This window comes from Homo sapiens, chromosome X, assembly GCF_000001405.40.
Source record: "Homo sapiens chromosome X, GRCh38.p14 Primary Assembly".
Classification (NCBI taxonomy): domain Eukaryota; kingdom Metazoa; phylum Chordata; class Mammalia; order Primates; family Hominidae; genus Homo; species Homo sapiens.
In genome coordinates this window covers 77,486,326-77,511,485 of record NC_000023.11, presented here as the reverse complement: position 1 = coordinate 77,511,485, position 25,160 = coordinate 77,486,326, and the positions used below count along the sequence as shown (strand labels likewise).

Genomic DNA, 25,160 nt, shown 5'->3' with positions numbered 1-25,160 from the left:
GGATTGGTCCCTGAGGCCTTATTTAGTTCGTTTGGTGATGTCGTGTTTCCTGGATGGTCTTGATGGTTGTGGACATTGATTCGTGTCTGGGCATTGAAGAGTTAGGTATTTATTATAATCTTTGTAGTCTAGCCTTGTTTGTACCCATCCTTCTTGGGAAGGCTTTCTAGGTATTCAAAGGGAGTTGGATATTGTGATCTAATGGTCACTGCATCTGTATCTGCATTAGAAGGCATCCCAAACCGGGTAATGCTGTGACTCTTGTAGTCTTGGAGACTCATAGAGGTACCGCCTTGGTGGTCTTGGATAAGATCTGGAAGAATTGTCTGGATTACCAGGCAGAGACTCTTGTTCTCTTCCCTTACTTTCTCCCAAACAGAATCTCTCTCTGTCTGTGCTAAGCTGTCTGGAAAGCTGGTGGAGAGGTGACACAAGCACCCCTCTGGCTCCCTTCACGGGGACCACACTGGGTTAGACCTGAAGCCTGCATAGCAATGGGTCTCACCCAAGATCCACAGTAACTACTGGCCTCCGCCTTTGTTTGCTCAAGGCTCTAAGGCTCCACATTCATCAGGTGGCAAAGCCAGCTCCTCTTGTGTCCTTCCCTTCTGGGCTGCAGATTTCCCCCAGCCCTAGGCCGATCCCAAGATGCTATCTAAGATCCAGGGCCTGGAGTCAGAATCTTTAGGAATCTGCCTGGAGCTCTATTCTACTTCGGCTGAGCTGGCACCCAAGCCATAAGACAAAATCTTTCTACCCTTCCCTCCGCTTTTCACAAGCAAAGGAGTCTCTCCCTGTGACCACTAGCACCCCAGGCCCACAGCAGGTATTGCCTGGCTACTGCTGATGTTCACTCAGGGCCCAAGGGCTCTTCAGTCAGCTTGTGTTAAATGCTACCAGGACTACGTCTCTCCCTTCTGGGCAGTGGGCTCCCCTCCAGCCCAGGGAAGGTCCACAAATGCCATCCAAAAGCCAAGGCCTGGAATTAGGGTCCCCGAGGGTCTGCTTGGTACCCTAGCCCACTGTGGCTGAGCTGGTACCTAAGCTGTATGTCAAAGTTCTCTTTACTCTTTCGTCTTCTTTTCTCAAGCAGGAGTCTCTTCCCATAGTGTCCACAGCTGGGAATGTGCTATGTCACACCTGAAGGTAGCATGTCTCTGAGTCTCACTGAAGGCCCACTGCAAGTACTGCCTGGGTACCACTGCTGGTTATTCAGGGCCCAAGGGCTCTTCAGACAACAGATGTTGAATCCTGTCAGGATTGAGTCATTTCCTTCAAGAGAATGAGTTTCCTCTGGCCCAGGTTATGTCTGGAAATGTCATCCAGGAGCTAGGGCCTGGAACAAGGGCCTCAGGACTCTGCCTGGTGCCCTGTCCTACTGTGGCTGACGTGATATTCAAGCTGCAAGACAAAGTCTTCTTTACTCTTCCCTCTCCTCTCCTCACCTCAAGCAAAAGGAAAGAGTCTCTCCTGGAGCTGTGAGCTGTGCTGCCTGGGGTTTGCGAAGGTGTGGCACAAGCAATCTCCTGGCCACCCTGGCTGGTGTCTCACTAGGTCATGTGCCCCCCCCCCCCGCCCCCCGTCCACTGGCTTTCAGCCCAGCACAGTACAGGACTTGGACTCTTGGTGGCCTAGATTGCCTTTCAGGTTTATTTAGGCCCCCAGAACTCTTTAGTCCACAGTGGCAAAGCTTGTCGGAACTCGGGTTCTGCCTGCTGGGATAGGTGATTTCCCTCTGGCTGTGGCTGGTGTAAATGCTCCCTCTGTGGGTGCCAGCTGAGTTCTGCCTGGTGTTTCTTTTCACTGTGACAGGGCAGCCCTGAGTTCCAATGCAGAGTCCCATAATCACTGTACTCTTTTCCTGCAAGCACATAGATTCTCTCTCCCTGCCACACGGCTGCTGCCAGGGGATGAGTGAGGGGTGGCATTGGCAGTTCAAGACTGTCTTTCCTACCCCCTTTAGTGCCTCTTTCAGTGATATGAAGTTAAAATCTGGTACAGTGATTGCTCACCTGATTTTTGGTTCTCATGAAGGTGATTTTATTGCAGATAGTTTTTCAATTTGCTGTTCCTTCGGGGAGGACGATCAGTGGAGGCTTCTATTCAGCCATCTTGCTCTGCCTCCAGTCACATTTGCCATTGTTAAACAACCTCGAAATAGTAGTATACTTATCAGTGTGTTTAATTTGAGAATAAAAGGTAGAGCTATGGATGATACATATCAAAGGTTCCTACTAAGTTATATAATTCTTTAAAAGGGTACTGTATTCCAGGATCCTTGATCATGTTTCCCAACACAGTCGTTTGCCAGCCTTCTGCCTTATACTTGGAAATTTCTACGCTTGACACCAGGGAATCTATTTCTGTGGCATATATTTTACTTAGAAAGCACTGCAGGGTTATGTGGTTTTACAATATATTAGTACATTTGAGATATTCCTGGTCAGAATTATTCCTACTGCAAGTGCCTTTCCCTTTGGTGTTTGTCACTAAAATGTTTGTCTGTCATCATGTGAAATATTCAAAAGAATGACAAAGAAAGGAGTCTTAACAAAAAGTGTTGTAACTAATACTTGAGACTAATCACAGTACAGAACACATTACTATGGCAACTAAGCTAAATGCTGCTTGCAATATAATAGTCAAGACATTAAGAGAATTTAGCCCTAAATGATCTTACTAACTGGTTTCTACAGTAATGGTCCTGTGAATGCCATCACATTAGTAATGGTGTTAACAATAATGTGTTTTCCTTTTGGTATGGTACCCCCTTAACAAATTGATTTTAAGTCAAAACTTGATACCTCTTTTGAGACAGGTCATGCACTTGTAATGACTCCCATTTTTTCTCTATAGTTAATCAGCTGTGTTCAGCGAATACTTATGAACAGAAGGCTCCAGCAGCAGTACAATCAGCAGCAACAGCAACAAATGACTTATCAACAAGCAACACTGGGTCACCTCATGATGCCAAAGCCCCCAAATTTGATCATGAATCCTTCTAACTACCAGCAGATTGATATGAGAGGAATGTATCAGCCAGTGGCTGGTGGTATGCAGCCACCACCATTACAGCGTGCACCACCCCCAATGAGAAGCAAAAATCCAGGACCTTCCCAAGGGAAATCAATGTGATTTTGCACTAAAAGCTTAATGGATTGTTAAAATCATAGAAAGATCTTTTATTTTTTTAGGAATCAATGACTTAACAGAACTCAACTGTATAAATAGTTTGGTCCCCTTAAATGCCAATCTTCCATATTAGTTTTACTTTTTTTTTTTTTAAATAGGGCATACCATTTCTTCCTGACATTTGTCAGTGATGTTGCCTAGAATCTTCTTACACACGCTGAGTACAGAAGATATTTCAAATTGTTTTCAGTGAAAACAAGTCCTTCCATAATAGTAACAACTCCACAGATTTCCTCTCTAAATTTTTATGCCTGCTTTTAGCAACCATAAAATTGTCATAAAATTAATAAATTTAGGAAAGAATAAAGATTTATATATTCATTCTTTACATATAAAAACACACAGCTGAGTTCTTAGAGTTGATTCCTCAAGTTATGAAATACTTTTGTACTTAATCCATTTCTTGATTAAAGTGATTGAAATGGTTTTAATGTTCTTTTGACTGAAGTCTGAAACTGGGCTCCTGCTTTATTGTCTCTGTGACTGAAAGTTAGAAACTGAGGGTTATCTTTGACACAGAATTGTGTGCAATATTCTTAAATACTACTGCTCTAAAAGTTGGAGAAGTCTTGCAGTTATCTTAGCATTGTATAAACAGCCTTAAGTATAGCCTAAGAAGAGAATTCCTTTTTCTTCTTTAGTCCTTCTGCCATTTTTTATTTTCAGTTATATGTGCTGAAATAATTACTGGTAAAATTTCAGGGTTGTGGATTATCTTCCACACATGAATTTTCTCTCTCCTGGCACGAATATAAAGCACATCTCTTAACTGCATGGTGCCAGTGCTAATGCTTCATCCTGTTGCTGGCAGTGGGATGTGGACTTAGAAAATCAAGTTCTAGCATTTTAGTAGGTTAACACTGAAGTTGTGGTTGTTAGGTTCACACCCTGTTTTATAAACAACATCAAAATGGCAGAACCATTGCTGACTTTAGGTTCACATGAGGAATGTACTTTTAACAATTCCCAGTACTATCAGTATTGTGAAATAATTCCTCTGAAAGATAAGAATCACTGGCTTCTATGCGCTTCTTTTCTCTCATCATCATGTTCTTTTACCCCAGTTTCCTTACATTTTTTTAAATTGTTTCAGAGTTTGTTTTTTTTTTAGTTTAGATTGTGAGGCAATTATTAAATCAAAATTAATTCATCCAATACCCCTTTACTAGAAGTTTTACTAGAAAATGTATTACATTTTATTTTTTCTTAATCCAGTTCTGCAAAAATGACCTATAAATTTATTCATGTACAATTTTGGTTACTTGAATTGTTAAAGAAAACATTGTTTTTGACTATGGGAGTCAACTCAACATGGCAGAACCATTTTTGAGATGATGATACAACAGGTAGTGAAACAGCTTAAGAATTCCAAAAAAAAAAAAAAAAAAAAAAAAAAGAAAACTGGGTTTGGGCTTTGCTTTAGGTATCACTGGATTAGAATGAGTTTAACATTAGCTAAAACTGCTTTGAGTTGTTTGGATGATTAAGAGATTGCCATTTTTATCTTGGAAGAACTAGTGGTAAAACATCCAAGAGCACTAGGATTGTGATACAGAATTTGTGAGGTTTGGTGGATCCACGCCCCTCTCCCCCACTTTCCCATGATGAAATATCACTAATAAATCCTGTATATTTAGATATTATGCTAGCCATGTAATCAGATTTATTTAATTGGGTGGGGCAGGTGTGTATTTACTTTAGAAAAAATGAAAAAGACAAGATTTATGAGAAATATTTGAAGGCAGTACACTCTGGCCAACTGTTACCAGTTGGTATTTCTACAAGTTCAGAATATTTTAAACCTGATTTACTAGACCTGGGAATTTTCAACATGGTCTAATTATTTACTCAAAGACATAGATGTGAAAATTTTAGGCAACCTTCTAAATCTTTTTCACCATGGATGAAACTATAACTTAAAGAATAATACTTAGAAGGGTTAATTGGAAATCAGAGTTTGAAATAAAACTTGGACCACTTTGTATACACTCTTCTCACTTGACATTTTAGCTATATAATATGTACTTTGAGTATAACATCAAGCTTTAACAAATATTTAAAGACAAAAAAATCACGTCAGTAAAATACTAAAAGGCTCATTTTTATATTTGTTTTAGATGTTTTAAATAGTTGCAATGGATTAAAAATGATGATTTAAAATGTTGCTTGTAATACAGTTTTGCCTGCTAAATTCTCCACATTTTGTAACCTGTTTTATTTCTTTGGGTGTAAAGCGTTTTTGCTTAGTATTGTGATATTGTATATGTTTTGTCCCAGTTGTATAGTAATGTTTCAGTCCATCATCCAGCTTTGGCTGCTGAAATCATACAGCTGTGAAGACTTGCCTTTGTTTCTGTTAGACTGCTTTTCAGTTCTGTATTGAGTATCTTAAGTACTGTAGAAAAGATGTCACTTCTTCCTTTAAGGCTGTTTTGTAATATATATAAGGACTGGAATTGTGTTTTTAAAGAAAAGCATTCAAGTATGACAATATACTATCTGTGTTTTCACCATTCAAAGTGCTGTTTAGTAGTTGAAACTTAAACTATTTAATGTCATTTAATAAAGTGACCAAAATGTGTTGTGCTCTTTATTGTATTTTCACAGCTTTGAAAATCTGTGCACATACTGTTTCATAGAAAATGTATAGCTTTTGTTGTCCTATATAATGGTGGTTCTTTTGCACATTTAGTTATTTAATATTGAGAGGTCACGAAGTTTGGTTATTGAATCTGTTATATACTAAATTCTGTAAAGGGAGATCTCTCATCTCAAAAAGAATTTACATACCAGGAAGTCCATGTGTGTTTGTGTTAGTTTTGGATGTCTTTGTGTAATCCAGCCCCATTTCCTGTTTCCCAACAGCTGTAACACTCATTTTAAGTCAAGCAGGGCTACCAACCCACACTTGATAGAAAAGCTGCTTACCATTCAGAAGCTTCCTTATTACCTGGCCTCCAAATGAGCTGAATATTTTGTAGCCTTCCCTTAGCTATGTTCATTTTCCCTCCATTATCATAAAATCAGATCGATATTTATGTGCCCCAAACAAAACTTTAAGAGCAGTTACATTCTGTCCCAGTAGCCCTTGTTTCCTTTGAGAGTAGCATGTTGTGAGGCTATAGAGACTTATTCTACCAGTAAAACAGGTCAATCCTTTTACATGTTTATTATACTAAAAATTATGTTCAGGGTATTTACTACTTTATTTCACCAGACTCAGTCTCAAGTGACTTGGCTATCTCCAAATCAGATCTACCCTTAGAGAATAAACATTTTTCTACCGTTATTTTTTTTCAAGTCTATAATCTGAGCCAGTCCCAAAGGAGTGATCAAGTTTCAGAAATGCTTTCATCTTCACAACATTTTATATATACTATTATATGGGGTGAATAAAGTTTTAAATCCGAAATATATACTGTGTCAAAGCTCAATATGTGCCAGGTAACTAAACTGTTAACATCACTAGCGTTGGATGTAATAACAGGATAGTGGCTCACCCCCAAGAGCTGCCATAAAATTCCATTATGATAGGTACTACCACCGTCTCTTTGGAACAACCTTCCTGACACCATTGTGCCACTAAACTAAGGGAATCATCCTTCCTCGCTTTCTAGGGATCTTTTTGATAGCGACTGTTGCACACACCTTCACCAAGAAAGAGAGCATATAAATTGAGGCCATTAGTAAAGATAAGGATACAACTATAATTGAAAGAATGAAGGAGTGAGGCAAATCCTAAAATACTGCAGGCAGGCCGTCTTTAATACAGCATATCACAAGCAATCTCTACCCAGCAACACTCCCCCACATTAAGTTCCTGAACATTCTACCCTTCTCTGATAGAAACATGTAAGGGATGAGGGAGCTTGGCTGTAATCTTCAGCTTTGCAAATACAATGACTATTAAGAGACTTTCCTATTAAGTATACCCAGGTCCATCCCTATGCTCCTTGTGTCGTATATGTGTTGTTTTTCAAGAAAGGTGAAGAAAGATGGCTTATATGCAAGGATGGGATTTGTTTTAGTTATATGGGGAGAAAGTATAGTACTGAAAGAGAGCAAAGAAGGATCGGGAAAGAGACTAAATTGGAGTGGATTGATGAAGAGCCTTGAAATCCTGAATGAGTAATTCAGTACAGAGGATAACAAGGGTTTGTGAGGCAGATGATAATGTTTAGCAAGTAAAGATGGCTATTTGGGTGAGGGTAATTTGGTTTAGAATGCAAGGTGGAAGATTGGAGACAGGAAGATAATTGGTCCAAGTATGAAGGACAAAAGAAAAAAAAATCATTAGAGGCTGTATAGGATAGTGAACTTTTACAATGATACTTATAATAAAAACCTGTTATTTTACTTTCCCCCTAAGGAGGCTTTGTTTCAGAATTTTGATTTTTACACACAAAATTCACTTACTCTGATTACTCTCAAACATAATGGTATGTTCGTCAGCGACATTCCTATTCTTTCTCAATTTTTTTTGTACTCCTTTACATTTGCAGAAAGTGAGATTGGTCCATTGAGTGTAATTCTACTTCTTTCCTCAAGCCAATTCTTAAAAAAGTGAAATCCAAATATTTCTGTTACATTTCTTTGAGACCCATTCATTCAAAGTGCTAGTAGCTTTGTGGGTAATGTTATATTTATAAGCTTTCCTTAGTATTTTCAACGTGCTTTGTAGTTATCGTGTTAACCCTATACACAACGTATCTGTGAGAGAAGTGAAAATAATGCCATTTTCCTTATGACAAGTTATAAGTGAAACCAAAATCAAATCTGTTGCACTTAAGGAGGCAGAAGACATAGTCTAGTTAGTTAAATTTTCCAGGTCTTTCATATCTAATTTGAGAAAAATGGGACAATAATAATACCTTGCCTGCTAGAAGGCAGGGGACTAGACCAGGTGATTTCCTAAGTCCTGTTAAGCTCCCCGAGTTAAACTTTGAGCAAAGCACAGTCTAAAGCCAAAAGGCAATGTGTTTGTCTAAGATTACAGGGTAAATTTGTAAACAGTACTAGAAATCCCTTCCCTTTGGCTAACCCTCTCCCCTACTAAGCTATACCTTTTCTTTCCCTCTGTGTAGAAAAATGAGAGGTCTGACAGACATTTTAATGACAAAGCAGGTAAGTTAAGTTGTAATTGGCTCTAATTACAACTTCCACTAGCTGTAACCTTTATCTTTTGCCCAGAGGCTCTCCCAGAGCTTCCTACTGCCTTTGAAACTCATTGCAGAAAATGAAAAAAACATGTTTAAGGATCTGATTCTTGTATCTTGATTGGCTGATCGGGTTACAAACATGACAAAACATCAAGGAAAATATAGATCAGCTTTGTGAAGCCCACTTTTAAGCAAATAATTGGTGATTTACCACTCTTGTTTATAACTGTAAAGCCAAATTAGACCAATGTTTAAATTGTCTGGTCTGGAAAAAGTTTATAGTGAGTAATAGGCAATATTTGTTTATGTTGACTCCTGTGTAACTACATGGAACACCTTTTGAGATGTAGGTTTTATAGTCAAATTATGTGACAAAAACTAAGAAAACTAATAGATGAGTTTTATTTTTTTCTGTAGCTGCTTGTCCCCACATGCCAATAACAAAGCAGGTAGACACACTAGCCTATTGAATACATTCAATGAAAACAAAACCAAACTTAAGGTGAGAGGGGGACGTGGTTTACAACTATTTGAGGTCTTATTAGTTTATTCCCAACTCTTAGTAAGTTTTCAACAATACAGCATGGAGAGGTTGGGCTTCAAAGGCTTTAGCAATGTGGCTGGCTTGGATCTAATTATCCTTCTTAACAAAGTAAACCTTTTATTCTATTAGCAACTTTTCTGCCCTCTCTTCCCACGTCTTGCACACACTATCCCTGAATATGCTGAGTTCAAACGAAGTGCCTGCCTGCGATTTTTTCCCCCTTTACTTCTCCAAAGGATCTTTCCCCAACTGTAGCCCCCTGTCACCTCCCCACCCCACCACACACACCCCTTATATTCTGATGCCTAAGTGTGTGAGGTCGGGAGGACTTGTAGAACCTTAGAATGCCAGGGATGGTAGGGGTCTTAGAGACCATGTAGCCCAGGCCCCTACCTTTACAATCAGGAAGACAAAGTCCCAGAGAGGGGAAAAGGTGCCCTAGGGCACTCATGTCTTCTAGCTTTTATTCCAGTTCTCATTCCACTCCATTCAGATGCCTCTTACTGCATTTAAATTCTAATTCATTTTCTTCAATCCGCCAGACCGCATTAAGCAAATTTTCAGAATAATGGGTACTGAATGAACTAAGCTTTAAAATGAGAAATGTTAGTGAGAAGTAGAATATGTAAACCAAAATGAAAGGGAAACATTCTTGTGATAACTGTAAAACAGGAAGCCCCCTGACAAATCCCCTAAACCTTTAATTTGGCATCCAGTATATGGGCTTCAGGATTTTGTTTCAGAGGGATATTTAATTTCTTTAAATGGTTCTTTCACCACGCTCAGCATGGTTTAGGCCAATAGGATCTAGAAGCTCTGTTCTATTTTCTGGATCTCAGTATCCAGTGACAAGGATAGAATCATTCAGCCTTCCTTAGACCAGGCAAGTTTATGCACCGAGTACTTTAAAATCCTCTATTTCAAATGAGAAATGATGATATATTCACAAGAAAACAAAATAGAAAGCTCTGTGTTAGTATAGTGATCTCTGTCAGAATAAGGGTGACTGTTATTGAGTTACAGAGATGTACCACATGGACCATGAACAGTTTTCATATTTCTGAAGAAATGAAAGACAGCAAAATGATTTTTTTTTTTTTTGAGACAAGGTCTCGCTGTGTCACCCAGGCTGGAATGCAATGGAGTGATCTTGACTCACTGCAGCCTTGACCTGGGCTCAAGCAATCCTCCCACCTCAGCCTCCTAAGTAGTGCGACTGACTACAGGAGTGCATCACCATGCCTGGCTAATTTTGTTTATTTTTTGTAGAGATGATGTCTCACTATGTTGGCCAGGCTGATCTTGAACTCCTGGGCTCAAGTGATCCTCTAGCCTCAGCTTCCCAAAGTGCTGGGATTACAGAAGTTAGCCAGTATTCCCGGTCCTAAAATGATTTTAATATGCTAGCACTTAGGAGCGTGGATCCATCTCTAAACTTGGACAAATTACTTCACCTCTCTGAATCTTCTCTCACACAGTGATCAAGATTTATTGAACACCTATTGTGTTTCAGGACCTATGGCCAGTCACTTTTCATTATTCCTGTGTTACAGATGAGAAAATAGGTTTGAAATACTTATTCACTCAGTGTCTCACAACCAACTGGAAGAGGCAAATGTTTTTCTTCCCATTGAACAAGCCTGCAATTCTTCCTTCAACTATGATTTAACCCCAGCCTTTTGTGAACCATTTAGAGTACCTTATTTTGTTATTTTGCATATCAGCTCTCATGTCTGTTTTTACTTTAAGCAAGACTTAAATAAAACAGAATACTCCCTGATATGATTTGGATCTGTGTCCCCACCAAATCTCATGTTGAATTGTAATCCCCAGCGCTGGAGGTGGGGCCTGGTGAGAGGTGATTGGATCATGTGGGCGGATTTCTTTTCTTTTTTTTTTTTTAATTTATTTATCTTTAAGTTCTGAGATAAGTGTGCAGAACGTGCAGGTTTGTTACATAGGTATACATGTGCCATGGTGGTTTGCCGCACCTACTGACCTGTCCTCTAAGATCCCTCCCCTCACCCCCCAACCCCTACAGGCCCTGGTGTGTGTTGTTCCCCTTCTTGTGTCCATGTGTTCTCATTGTTCAATTCCCACTTATGAGTGACAACATGCAGTGTTTGGTTGCCTGTTCCTGTGTTAGTTTGCTGAGGATGATGGCTTTCAGCTTCATCTATGTCCCTGCAAAGGACATCCTCTCATTCCTTTTTATGGCTGCATAGTATTCCATGGTGTATATGTACCACATTTTCTTTATCCATTCTATCATTGATGAGCATTTGGGTTGGTTCCATGACTTTGCTATTGTAAATAGTGCTGCAATAAACATACACGTGCATGTGTCTTTATAGTAGAATGATTTAATTCCTTTGGGTATGTACCCAGTAATGGGGTTGCTGAGTCAAATGGTATTTCTGGTTCTAGATCCTTGAGGAATCACCATACTGTCTTCCACAATGGTTGAACTAATTTACATTCCCACCAACAGTGTAAAAGTGTTCCTATTTCTCCACAGCCTTGCCAGCATCTATTGTTTCTTGACTTTTTAATAACTGCCATTCTAACTGGTAGGAGATGGTATCTCATTGTGGTTTTGATTTGCATTTGTCTAATGATCAGTGTTGTTGAACTTCTTTTCATATGTTTTTTGGCCTCGTAAATGTCTTTTTCTGAGAAGTGTCTGTTCGAATCCTTTGCCCACTTTTTGATATGGTTGTTTTCTTCTTGTAAATTCATTTAAGTTCCTTGGAAATTCTGATATTAGACCTTTGTCAGATGGATAGATTGCAAAAATTTTCTCCCACTCTGTAAGTTGCCTGTTCACTCTGATGCTAGTTTCTTTTGCTGTGCAGAAGCTCTTTAGTTTAATTAGATCCCACTTGTCAATTTTGGCTTTTATTGCAACTGCTTTTGGAGTTTTTGTTATGAAGTCTTTACTCATGTCTATGTCCTGAATGGTATTGCCTAGGTTTTCTTCTAGGGTTTTTATGGTTTTGGGTTTTACATTTAAGTCTTTAATCCATCTTGAGTTAATTTTTGTAAAAGGTGTAAGGAAGTGGTCCAGTTTCAGTTTTCTGCCTATGGCTAGCTAGTTTTACCAGCACCATTTATTGAATAGGAGATCCTTTCCTCATTGCTTGTTTTTGTCAGGTTTGTCAAAGATCAGTCGGTTGTAGATATGCGGTGTTATTTCTGAGGTCTCTGTTATGTTCCATTGGTCTATATGTCTGTTTTGGTACCAGTACCATGCTGTTTTGGTTACTGTAGTCTTGTAGCATAGTTTGAAGTCAGGTAGTGTGATATCTCCAGCTTTGTTCTTTTTGCTTAGGATTGTCTTTTCTATCCTGGGTCTTCTTTCACTCCATATGAAATTTAAAGTAGTTTTTTTCTAATTCTGTGAAGAGGCAATTGTAGTTTGATGGGAATAGCATTGAATCTATAAGTTAATTTGGGCTGTATAGCCGTTTTCACAATATTGATTCTTCCATTCCATGAGCATGGAATGTTTTTCCATTTGTTTGTGTCCTCTCTCATTTCCTTGAGCACAGGTTTGTAGTTCTCCTTGAAGAGGTCCTTCACATCCCTTGTTAGCTGTATTCCCAGGTACTTTGTTCTCTTTTTAGCAATTGTGAATGGGAAGTCATTCATGATTTGGCTCTCTGCTTGTCAATTATTTGTGTAAAGGACTGCTTGTGATTTTTGCACATTGATTTTGTAACCTGAGACTGCTGAAGTTGCTTATCAGCTTAAGGAGTTATTGGGCTGAGATGATGGGGTTTTCTAAATATACAATCATGTCATCTACAAACAGAGACAATTTGACTTCCTCTCTTCCTATGTGAATACACTTTATTTCTTTCTCATGCCTGATTGCCCTGGTCAGAACTTCCAATACTACGTTGAATAGGAATGGTGAGAGAGGGCATCCTTGTCTTGCACCAGTTTTCAAAGGGAATGCTTCCAGCTTTTGCCCATTCAATATGATATTGGCTGTGGGTTTGTCATGAATAAGCTCTTACTATTTTGAGATATGTTCCATTAACACCTAGTTTATTGAGAGTTTTTAACATGAAGGGATGTTGAATTTTATCAAAGGCCTTTTCTGCATCTATTGAGATAATCATGTGGTATTTGTCTTTGGTTCTGTTTATCTGAGGGATCACATTTATTGATTTGTGTATGTTGAACAACCCCTGCATCCCAGGGATAAAGCCAACTTGATCGTGGAAGATAAGTTTTTTGATGTGCTGCTGGATTTGATTTGCCAGTATTTTATTTAGGATTTTCACATTGATGTTCATCAGGGATACTGGCCTGAAGTTTTCTTTTTGGTTGAGTCTCTGCCCGGTTTTGGTATCAGGATGATGCTGGCTTCATAAAATGAGTTAGGGAGGAGTGACTCCTTTTCAATTGTTTGGAATGGTTTCAGAAGTAATGGTACCAGCTCCTCTTTGTACCTGTGGTAGAATTCAGATCTGAATCTGTCTGGTCCTGGCTTTTTTTGTTGCTAGGCTATTAATTACTGCCTCAATTTCAGAATTTGTTATTGGTCTATTCAGGGATTTGACTTCTTCCTGGTTTAGTGTTGGGAGGGTGTATGTGTCCAGGAATTTATCCATTTCTTCTAGATTTTCTAGTTTATTTGCATAGAGGTGTTTATAGTGTTCTCTGATGGTAGTGTGTATTTCTTTGGGGTCAGTGATGATATCCACTTTATCATTTTTTATTGTGTCTATTTGATTCTTCTCTCTTTTCTTATTAGTCTAGCTAGCAGCCTATTTATTTTGTTAATTTTTTCAGAAAACCAACTCCCAGATTCATTGATTTTCTGGAGGGTTTTTCATGTCTCTGTCTCCTTCTATTCTGTTCTGATCTTAGTTATTTCTTGTCTTCTGTTAGCTTTTGGATGAGTTTGCTTTTGCCTCTCTAGCTCTTTTATTTGTGATGTTAGTGTGTTGAGATCTTTCTAGCTTTCTGATATATGCTTTCTGATATATAGCTTTCTGATATTTAGTCCTATAAATATATAAAAAATATATAGCTTTCTGATATTTAGTCCTATAAATATATAAAAAATATATAGCTTTCTGATATTTAGTCCTATAAATTTCCCTCTTAACTCTGCTTTAGGTATGTCCGAGAGGTTCTGGTACATTGTCTTTTGGTTCTCATTTGTTTCAAAGAACTTTTTGATTTCTGCCTTAATTTCATTATTTACCCAGGAGTCATTCAGGAGCAGGCTGTTCAATTTCCATGTAATTGTGTGGTTTTGAGTGAGTTTCTTAATCCTGAGTTCTAATTTAATTGTACTGTGGTGTGAGAGACTGTTTGTTATGATTTCTGTTCTTTTGCATTTGCTGAGGAGTGTTTTACTTCCAATTATGTTGTTGATTTTAGAATAAGTGCCACGTGGTGGTGAGAAAAATGCATATTCTGTTGATTTGGGGTGGAGAATTCTGTAGCTGTCTATTAGGTCCACTTGATCCAGAGCTGAGTTCAAGTCCTGAATATCCTTGTTAATTTTGTGCCTTGTCAACATGTCTAATATCGACAGTGGGGTGTTAAAGTCTCCTACTATTATTGTATGGGAGTCTAAGTCTCTGTAGATCTCTAAGAACTTGTTTTATGAATCTGGGTGCTCCTGTATTGGGTGCATATATATTTAGAATAGTTAGCTCTTCTTGTTGAATTATTCCCTTTACCAGTATGTAAGCCCTGGTCTTTTTTGATTTTTATTGGTTTAAAGTTTGTTTTGTCAGAGACTAGGATGGCAATCCTTGTTGTTTTTTGCTTTCCATTTGCTTGGTAAATTTTTCTCCATCCCTTTATTTTGAGCCTATGTGTGTCTTTGCACGTGAGATGGGTCTCCTGAATACAGCACACCAATGGGTCTTGACTCTGTCCAATTTGCCAGTCTGTGTCTTTTAATTGGGGCATTTGGCCCATTTACATTTAAGGTTAGTATTGTTATATGAGAATTTGATCCTGTCATCATGATGCTATCTGGTTATTTTGCACACTAGTTGATGGAGTTTTTCATGATGTAATTGGTCTTTATATTTTGGTGTGTTTTTGCAGTGGCTGTTACCTGTTTTTCTTTTTCTTTTTTTTTTTGAGACGGAGTCTCGCTCTGTTACCCAGGCTGGAGTGCAGTGGCGCGATCTCGGCTCACTGCAAGCTCCACCTCCCGGGTTCATGCCATTCTCCTGCCTCAGCCTCCCGAGTAGCTGGGACTACAGGCACCTGCCACCACGCCTGGCTAATTTTTTTTGTATTTTTAGTAGAGATGGAGTTTCACCATGTTAGCCAGGATGGTCTCGATCTCCTGACCTCGTGATCCACCTGCCTTGCCCTCCCAAAGTGCTGGGATTACAGGCGTGAGCCACCGTGCCCTGCCAGTTTTTTCATTTCCATATTTAGTGCTTCTTTCAGAAGCTCTTACAAGGCAGGTGTGGTGGTAATGAAATTCCTCAGCATTTGCTTGTCTGTAAAGGAATTTATTTCTCCTTTGCTTATGAAGCTTAGTTTGGCTGGATATGAAATTCTGGTTTGAAAATTCTTTTCTTTAAGAATGTTGAATATTGGCCCCAACTCTCTTCTGGCTTGTAGAGTTTATGCTGAGAGGTTTGCTGTTAGTCTAATGGGCTTCCCTTTGTAGGTTACCTGACCTTTCTCTCTGGCTGCCCTTAACACTTTTTCCTTCATTTCTACCTTGGAGAATCTAATGATTATGTGTCTTGGGGTTGATCTTCTCATGGAATATCTTAGTAGTGTTCTCTGTATTTCCTGAATTTGAATGTTGGCTTGTCTTGCTAGGTTGGGGAAGTTCTCCTAGATAATATCTTGAAGTGTGTTTTCCAGCTTGTTTCCATTCTCCTTGTCTCCTTCAGGTACTCCAATCAATTTTATGTTCAGTCTTTTTATGAAGTCCCATATTTCTTGGAGGCTTTGTTCATTCCTTTTTATTCTTTTTTTCTCTAATCTTGTCTGCATGCCTTATTTCAGCAAAGTTGTCTTCAAACTCTGATATCCTTTCTTCCACTTGGTCGATTTAGCTATTGATATTTGTGTATGCTTCACAAAGTTCTTGTACAGTGTTTTTCAGCTCCATCAGCTCACTTATGTTCCTCTCTAAACTGGTTATTCTACTTAGCAGCTCCTCTAACCTTTTAATAAGGTTCTTAGCTTCTTTGCATTGGGTTAGAACATGCTCCCTTAGCTCAGCGGAGTTTTTGTTACCCATCTTCTGAAGCCTACTTCTGTCAATTCATCCATCTCTTCCTCCATCCAGTTCTGCACCCTTCCTGGAGAGGCGCAATCATTTGGAGGAGAAGAGGCACTCTGGCCTTTTGGGTTTACAGCATGTTTTTGTTGATTCTTTCTCATCTTCATGAGTTTGTCTAGTTTCGATCTCTGAGGCTGTTGACCCTTGGATGGGGTTTTTGTGGAGAATTTTTTTGTTGTTGATGATGCTGTTGTTGTTGCTTTCTGTTTGTTTTTCTTTTGATGGTCAGATACCTCTTTTGTAGGGCTGCTATGGCTTGCTGTGGGTTCACGTCCTATTCATCTGGTTTGCTCCCATGCCTGGAGATGTCTCTCAAGGAGGCTGGAGAACAGTAAAGATGGGTGCCTCTTTCTTCTTCTGGGACCTCTAACCTTCAGGGGAACCAACCTGATGCCAGTAGGATCGCTCCTGTATAGAGTATCTGACAACCCCTGTTGGAGGGTCTAACCCAGTTGGGTGGCTCAGGGAACAGGACCAATTTAACGAAGCACTTTGACTGTTCCTCGGTGGAGGGGGCATGCTTTGATGAGGGTAAACCCACTCATCTGGGCTGGCTGGATTCCTCAGAACTACCAGGAGGAAAGGCTAAGTCTGCTGGTCTACAGAGACTATGGCCACCCCTCCCACTAGGGGCTCAGGCCCAGGGAGATCCAGGTTCTGTCCTTGAGCCTCTGGCTGGAGTTGTTGGAGTTCCTGCAGGGAAGTCCCACCTAGTGAGGAAGGATGGCTCAGGGTCAGGACTGAAGAGGCGCTCTGGCCGCAGTCTGCCACTGCCAGTGTGTTGGGCTATGGGGGAAACCTCTTGGGACCAAGCCATCCAGTCTCCCTGGCTCCAGCAGGGGAAAAGCGTGGCCTGGAGCTATAGAGATGGAAGCCTCCCTTCCCCCACCCAGGGAGCTTAGCGTGTTAGGCAGTTATGAGTCGCAGTGCTGGCTGCTGCCCCTCCCACAAGGAGCTCAAATGGCTTACATAGCAGGCAGTCGCAGCTGTGGTGCTTGTCGCCCCTCCCCCTGGGAGCTCTGCAGGCTTAAGCAGATTCCAGCTGAGAGGCTGTTGAGAATCTGCGTGACTCAGGGGTTGGGACTCTGGGCCCCAGTGGCGTGGGTTCACGAATGGGATCTTCTGATCCATGGGTTCCACAGTTCCATGGAAAAACCACGGTTTCCCCGCCTGGGTAGCGCACTCAACACCTCCCTTGGCTGGGGGGTGGGGGCTCCCCTGCCCCGTGTGGCTCTCAGGTGGACCGCTGCACCACACTGCTCTTCCTTTCTCTCCATGAATCACATCAGCTGCCTAGTCAGTTCCGATGAGAGAACCTGGATACCTTGGTTACCTGTGAAGGATTCACACGCTAATTATGGTTCTTTTCGATGAGCGCCTCTGATCGCCTCTGTTTCTAGTTGGCCATCTTGGCCTTGCCCCCTGTGGATTTCTCATGAATAGTTTAGCACCATCCCCTTTGTGCTGTTCTCATGATAGTGAGTTCTCATGAGATCTAGTCATTTAAAAGTGTGTAGCACCTCCCCACCTTCTCTTGCTCCTGCTCCTGCTCCTGCCATGTGAGACACCTGCTCCCTCTTTGCCTTCTGCCATGATTGGAAGCATCCTGAGCTTGCAGAACTGTAAGCCAATTAAAACTCTTTTCTTTTTAAATTACCCAGACTCAGATATTTATTTATGGCCTTTATAGCAGTGTGAGAACAGACTATTACATTCCCTTCTTGATGTTTTCAAGGTACTTCCTTCTGTCTCTCTTCAGTAGTGCTAGAGGGTTCTGCTTTTTTCTTCCATTTTGTTCTGTGATCCAAACAGAAGTGTCTGAAAACCCCAGTCTGAATACTTTAAAATATGTTTTAATATAGTAAAACTCATTTTTAATGCAGTGGCTTCCACACAAATTCAATTAGTCACCAATTGAGAACCCTAAAGGTTGAAGTATTCTGAACTAAGTTTATTGTTCATTGTTCCACCTCATAAAATTTAGGCAACATTTGAGCAAGGCCTTAAAATATAACTAGAATATGGACATGTAGAGGTTAAGGAGGAGGGCATCTCAGGCAGAGGAAACAGCAAATACAAACACAAGTAGGCAGCAAAGAACATAACTCAGAATAGGATAGTTCCAGAAAATCCCATGCTCTACACTTGTGCACAAAGATTATAGTCCCATTTAAGCCAATGGTTTCTGTAATGCATTTAAATGGTGTGGTAGGCAGAATAATAGTCTCCCAAAGATGTCTAAGTCCTAATACCCAGCACCTGTGAATATGTTACCTTATATGGCAAATGATAATTAAGGTTGCTAATTAACTGAACTTGCAATGGGAGAGATTCTCCTGGATTATCTAGATGGGTCCAATGTGATCACAAGGATCCTTAAAAGTGGAAAAGGGAGTGTATTAGTCCGTTCTCCCACTGCTGTAAAGAAAAACCTGAAACTGGGTTTTTCTTTATAATATAGTATAATTCATAAAGAAAATTTATAAAGAAAAGAGGTTTAATTGGCTCACAGATCAGCATGCTGTACAGGAAGCATGGCTGGGGAGACCTCAGGAAACTTTCAATCATAGTGGAAGGCAAAAGGGAAGCAGGCAACATGTTAACATGGACAGGAGTAGGAGGAGGAAGAGAGTTAATGGGTGGGGACGGTGCTACACACTTTTAAACAACGAGATATCCTGAGAACTCACTATCATGAGAACAGCAAGGGGAAAATTCACCCCGACCATCTAATCCCCTCCACCAGGCCCCTCCTCCAACATGGGGGATTACAATTGGACATGAGATTTGGGCAGGGACTCAAATTCACACCATATCAGGGAGGTAGGAGAGTAACAGGAAGATGTGATTAGGAAAGAAAGGCTCAGAGAGTTTCAACATTGTTGGTTTTGAAGAGGAAGAGGACCATGGGCAAGGAATGTGAGTGGCCTCTAGAAGCTGGAAAGGGCAAGGAAAAAAATCCTCATCTAGAGCCTCCAAAAAGGAACACAGTTCTGCTGACATGTTGACTTTAGCTCTGTCCATGTCATAACTCTACCCTACAGAATGGTAAGACAGTAAATGGGCATTGTTTTAAGCCACTATGTTAGTGGTGATTTGTTACAGCAGCAATAGGAAACTAATATAAATGGTTATTTGTGTGATTACTTGATTAATGTCTTGCTCCCCTGCTAGATATGTAAACTCCTTAAGTGCAAGAGCCCTTTTTTTGCTCACTTTAATATCTTCAGCATCTGACACAGAAAAAGTATGGTATAAATGTTTGATAAATTTGTGACTGAATGGCTTACCAGTCATATCCTACATGAGAACATTATGGCAACATCAATACCATCAGAGTCAGATTCTTTGTCCTTGTATATATATGTATGCCTGTTTCTGTCTTTTTTGCGTGGGCTCTTTGTCTTTCTTCTTCCCCTTCTCTCTTCCTTACTTCTGTCCCTATTTCTTAATTGGTCATAACAAAGAACTGAAGTACACCTTGTAATTACCTATTATCTTCATGGAATAAAGTCTTACATTTAATGTTCATGGTTTTTAAAAATAAATAAGTAATGTAGCTTATTGCAATGAAAAAAAGCATTATACTCAAGAGCCCCTTCATTTACTAACTATAATTTATGTCAGTGGGTGAGTGATCCTTGATAGAAGTTTCTCATCACTGACTTAGGATGATGTATGGAACCCACAAGTAGAAATATCCTACAGAAGCTGTCCGTTTGTGCCTGCTGGTGGGAACTTGTTCCCTGATTGCATGGCCCACATTCTTCTGAGAAGAAATTGTTTGACATTGTCTACTCAAAGTGGATTCCCCTATCACTTAGGACCAGAGATACTCAGTATTTTCCCTGGCCTCATCCTCTGGCTGCTGAGTTTGGGTATAAAAATGTTTGAAGTTTGAGCAGAGTGCACTGGAATTGCATGGAAGGCATAGGGCCTATTCACCTACAAATCTCAATGTATTGCATAAAATGGAATGGCCTGAAGCAAAGTAAAACTTTTAATGGAAAAGTTATTGAAATTTCTAGAGTTCAAGAACATTTAGAGAAAATTTCATTTTTGAATACAAAAGGCCCTTAGAGATCACCTAGTCCAGTGTTTCTCAAAAATTAATGTATGGAGGAGTCACGTGAGAAGCGTATTAAACTTTAGATTCTGATTTAGTAGGTCTGGTGTAAGGCCCAAGAATGTGCATTTCTAAAAGTTCCCAGGTGATGTTGATGCTGTTGGCCCAGGCACCACCCTTCAAGGAGCAAGGGGAGAATAGATGTAAGGCAGTCAGAGAAAAGGTATCTGCATTCTACACACAGGAACCAGAAAGTGGGAGTTCATAGAACCAGAACCTCAGGGATGTCTCAGCTTTCTTATGGACAGATGGAGAGCCTAGGTCTCTCACGAGTTTGGGTCCCTATATCTAGTTGCTGCTACAGGGAAGGTGTATCTGATCTCTAGTGGTGTAGGGTCAAGGAAAATCAGGAAAGCATGTGTATTGGGGCAATTAACTCTAGCTACCACAAGAGACAAAGCTCAAAAGCTTAGCAAAAGTACTTGTCTAGCCTCCCTGCTGTACACACACACACACATGAAAATGTTATTAGATAAGTAGAAAAAAGTCTGCAAAGATATATGCCAGGATGTTGAAGATGATAAGAAGTGAAGATACAGTGTTTTTTGTTTTCTTCTTTTTGCTTATCTTTATTTTCTAGAATTCTTCTCCCCAGATACCAATGGGATTTTATTTGGGATAAGATACATTGATTCTACATGTCATGTGAAAAAATGTAAAAATTAAAAAGGCATCCAGACAACCTTTAGAAATAATAGCAATGAGAGGTAACTAACTGTTATAGACATTAAAATTCTGGGCTGGCACGGTGGCTCACGCCTGTAATCCCAGCACTTTGGGAGGCCGAGGCAGGCTGATCATGAGGTCAGGAGATCGAGACCATCCTGGCTAACACAGTGAAACCCCGTCTCTACTAAAAAAAAAAAAAAAAAAAAAAAAACCACAAAAAAATTAGCCAGGCGTGGTGGCGGGCACCTGTAGTCCCAGCTACTCGGGAGGCTGAGGGAGGAGAATGGCGTGAACCCAGGTGGTGGAGCTTGCAGTGAGCTGAGATCGCACCACTGCACTCCAGCCTGGGTGACAGAGTGAGACTCCCTCTCAAAAAAAAAAAAAAATTCTGAAGGCTCAGTAATTTAAAAGTATTATACTAGTGCATGAATAGAGGGATCAATTAAATGCAATAAAAAATTTTAAAATAGACACAAGCACATACAGGAATTTGGTGTATTTTGAATATGTCATTTTAAGTTAATAAGAAATTTCTATGAAGAAAGAAAAATAAAAATTGAATTTCTACCTAATAATTTGCATCAAAATAAAATCTGATGGATGAAATATTGATATATTAAAAATGGAATAATTCAAAGTACTAGGAGAAATGAAAACAAAACAAGACAAACAACCAGAAGTTGCAGTGTCAGTATCCTGAGCATCACATCAAGAGCTTCTTCCTAGATTCTTAATTTAAATATGGTACTTTTTGGCCTCCCTCATAACTCTCTGGGAACTTGAGACAGAAAGTTCAAACAAAGTCTAACAATTATATATGGGACAACTGACCACATCAGACAGAAGTGATTCTTATGCCTTGGTTTCATTCCACCTCATGTTGATATGCCCTTATAGAGACCACCCAAACAGTAAATTGAATAAATTCCATGATTATGGTACTCAGTCTAAGTCTATCAAGTTCAGTTTTTTTAAGTTCAACTCTATTTATATATTATTTTTTAATTTTATTTTAGGTTCTGGGGTGCACATACAGGTTTATTGTATAGGTAAATTGCATGTCATGGGGATTTGTTGTACAGATTATTTTATTACCCAGGTAATAAGCATAGTACCCAATAGGTAGTGTTTCGATTCTCACCGTCCTCTCACCCTCCACTCTCAAATAGGCCCCAGTGGCTATTGTTTCCTTCTTTATGTCCATATGTACTCAAAGTTTAGCTCCCACTTACAAGTGAGAACATGTGGTATTTGGTTTTCTGTTCTTGTGTTAGTTTGCTTAGGATATTAGCCTCAAGCTCCATCCATGTTGCAGCAAAGGACATGATCTCATTCTTTTTTTTGTGGCTGCATCATATTCCATTGTGTATACATACTACATTTTTAAAATCCTGTCTACCAACAATGGCATTTAAGTTGGCTCCATGTCTTTGCTATTGTGAATAGTGCAATGAACATACACATACCTGTATCATTCTGATAGAACAATTTATATTCCTTTGAGTGTATACCCAATTGTAGGATTGCTGGGTTGAATGGTTAATTCCATTTTAAGTTATTTGAGAAATTTCTAAACTGCTTTCCCTGATGGCCGAATGAATTTACATTCCCACCAGCAGTGTATAAGCATTCTCTTTTCTCCACAACCTTGCCAGCAACTATTATTTTTTGAAATTTTTTCTTTTGAGACAGAGTCTCACGCTGTTGCCCAGGCCAGAGTGCAGTGGCACAATCATGGCTCACTGCAGCCTCAACCTCCTGGGCTCATGTGATCCTATGACCTCAGCCTCTCAAGTAGCTGGGACTACAGGAATGTGCTACCATGCCCAGCTAATTTATTTTTTGTAGAGATGGGGTCTTGCCATGTTGCCCAGGCTGGTCTCCAACTCCTGGGCTCAAGGGGTCCTTCCACCTTGGCTTCCCAAAGTGCTGAGATTACAGGAGTGAGCCACCACACCTGGTCTTTTTGACTTTTTAATAATAGGCATTCTGACAGATGTGAGATGGTATATCCTTGTGGTTTTGATTTGCATTTCTCTAATGATTAGTGATGTTCAGCCTTTTTTTCCATATGCTTGCTGGCCACATATAGGTCTTCTTTTGAAAAGTGTCTGTTCTTGTCCTTTGCCCACTTTTTAATGGGGTTGTTTTTTGCTTCTAAATTTGTTTATGTTCCTTATAGATTCTGGACATTAGACCTTTTTTAGATGTATAGTTTGCAAATATTTTCTCTTATCCTGTAGGTTATCTGTTTACTCTGTTGATAGTTTCTTCTAAGGAAACAACTTACCTTTTCTTGCTATGCAGAAGCTCTTTAGTTTAATTAGGACCCTTTTATCAATCTTTGTTTTTGTTGCACTTGCGTTTGGCATCTTCTTCATGAAATTTTTGCCAGGTCCTATGTCCAGAATGGTATTTCATATGTTATCTTCCAGGGTTTTTATGATTTTAGGTTTTATATTTAAGTATTTAATCCATCTTGAGTTGATTTTTGTATATCGTGTAAGGAAGGGGTCCAGTTTCAATCTTCTGCATATGGCTAGCCAGTTATCCCACCACCATTTATTGAGTAAGGAGCCTTTTCCCCATTGCTTGTTTTTGTCAGCTTTCTTGAAGATCAGATGGTTGTGGGTGTGCAACATTACTCCTAGGCTCTCTATTCTGTTCCACTGGTCTATGTGCCTGTTTTGTACCAGTACCATGCTGTTTTGGTTACTGTAGCCCTGTAGTATAGTTTGAAGTCAGGTAATGTAATACCTCCAGCTTTGTTCTTTTAGCTTAGGATTGCCTTGGCTATTTGGGTTCTTTTTTGTTCCATATGAATTTTAAAATAGCTAATTCTGTGAAGAATTTCATTGGTAGTTTGATAGGAATAGCATTGAAGGTATAAATTGCTTTGTGCAGTATGGCCATTTTAATAATATTGATTCTTCCTATCCATGAGCATGGAAAGTTTTTCCATTTGTTTGTGTCATCTCTGATTTCTTTGAGCAGTCTTTTGGAGTTCTCATTGTAGAGATGTTTCACCTCCCTGGTTAGCTGTATTCCTAGGTATTTTATTCTTTTTTGTGACTATTCTGAGTGGGATTGCATTCTTGATTTGGCTCTCAGATTGAATATTGTTAGGGTGTAGGAATGCTACTGATTTTTGTACATTGATTTTGTATCATGAAACTTTGTTGAAGTTGTTTATCAGATCAAGGAGCTTTTGGGAAGAGACTGTGGTGTTTTGTAGGTATAGAATTACATTGTCTGCAAACAGGAATAGTTTGACTTCCTCTCTTCCTATTTGGATGCATTTTATTTCTTTCTGTTGCCCGATTGCTCTGATGAGAACTTCCAGAACTATGTTGAATAGGAGTGGTGAGAGAGGGCATCCTTGTCTTATGCTGGTTTTCTAGGGGAATGCTTCCAGCCTGTGCCCATTCAGTATGAGTTGGCTGTGGGTTTTTCATAGATGGCTCTTTTTTTGAGGTATGCTCCTTCAATGCCTAGTTTGTTGAGGGTTTTTAACATGAAGTAATGTTGAATTTTATTGAAAGTCTTTTCTGCATCTATTGAGGTGATCATGTGTTTTTTTTTGCGTTTTTTTTTTTTTTTTTTTTTGGACAGAGTGTCACTTTGTCACCCAGGCTGGAATGCAGCGGCGAGACCTTGGCTCACTGCATCCTCCACCTCTTGGGTTCAAATAGTTCTCCTGCCTCAGCCTCCTGAATAGCTGTGAATACAGGCACGTGCCACCATGCCCAGCTTATTTTGTATTTTTAGTAGAGACAGGGTTTCACCATTTTGGCCAGGCTGGTCTCGAACTCCTAACCTCAAGTGATCCACCTGCCTCAGCTTCCCAAAGTGCTGGGATTACAGGCATGAGCCACTGCACCTGACCCTTGTGGTAGATTAGCTTTTTAATGTGCTACTGGATTCAGTTTGCTAGTATTTTGTCAAGTATTTTTGCATCTATGTTTATCAAGGATATTGACCTGAAGTTTTCTTTTTTTGTTGTGTCTCTGCCAGGTTTTCATATCAGGATGATGCTGGCCTCACATAATGAGTTAGGGAGTCCCTAGGTGATATATCTTAGAGGTGTATCCCTGCCCAAATATCATGTTGAAAGGTAATCCCCAGTGTTGGAGATGGGGCCTGGTGAGAGGTAACTGGATCATTAGGGTGAATTTCTCATGA

The 25,160-nt window shown here is 39.8% G+C and overlaps 1 protein-coding gene across 9 annotated transcripts in view, besides 4 other annotated features; it reads left to right on the top strand.

Annotated features, from left to right (window-relative positions):
* The window catches only part of ATRX (ATRX chromatin remodeler), a 281,337-nt gene extending 274,731 nt beyond the window's left edge, over positions 1-6,606 (top strand). For all 9 annotated transcript variants that reach the window (XM_005262156.5, XM_005262157.6, XM_006724666.5 and 6 more), the window contains one exon: positions 2,857-6,606. In XM_005262156.5, the coding sequence (XP_005262213.2) occupies positions 2,857-3,135 (279 nt within the window). In that variant the 3' untranslated portion in view covers positions 3,136-6,606. The remainder of the gene's footprint in view (positions 1-2,856) is intronic.
* Positions 8,594-9,095: an enhancer, noted in NCBI's record as "NANOG hESC enhancer chrX:76757869-76758370 (GRCh37/hg19 assembly coordinates)". NCBI's record gives its function as "activates a minimal SCP1, AML or CMV promoter by ChIP-STARR-seq in naive H9 embryonic stem cells {active_cell/tissue: H9 hESC(naive)}" and the evidence as "EXISTENCE:reporter gene assay evidence [ECO:0000049][PMID:30033119]".
* Positions 16,724-17,306: an enhancer, noted in NCBI's record as "NANOG-H3K27ac-H3K4me1 hESC enhancer chrX:76749658-76750240 (GRCh37/hg19 assembly coordinates)". NCBI's record gives its function as "activates a minimal SCP1, AML or CMV promoter by ChIP-STARR-seq in primed H9 embryonic stem cells {active_cell/tissue: H9 hESC(primed)}" and the evidence as "EXISTENCE:reporter gene assay evidence [ECO:0000049][PMID:30033119]".
* Positions 16,724-17,312: a biological region, named in NCBI's record as "NANOG-H3K27ac-H3K4me1 hESC enhancer GRCh37_chrX:76749658-76750240".
* Positions 16,996-17,312: a silencer, noted in NCBI's record as "fragment chrX:76749652-76749968 (GRCh37/hg19 assembly coordinates)". NCBI's record gives its function as "represses an EF-1alpha promoter that drives an FKBP-Casp9 reporter gene in an ReSE screen in HepG2 liver carcinoma cells {active_cell/tissue: HepG2}" and the evidence as "EXISTENCE:reporter gene assay evidence [ECO:0000049][PMID:32094911]".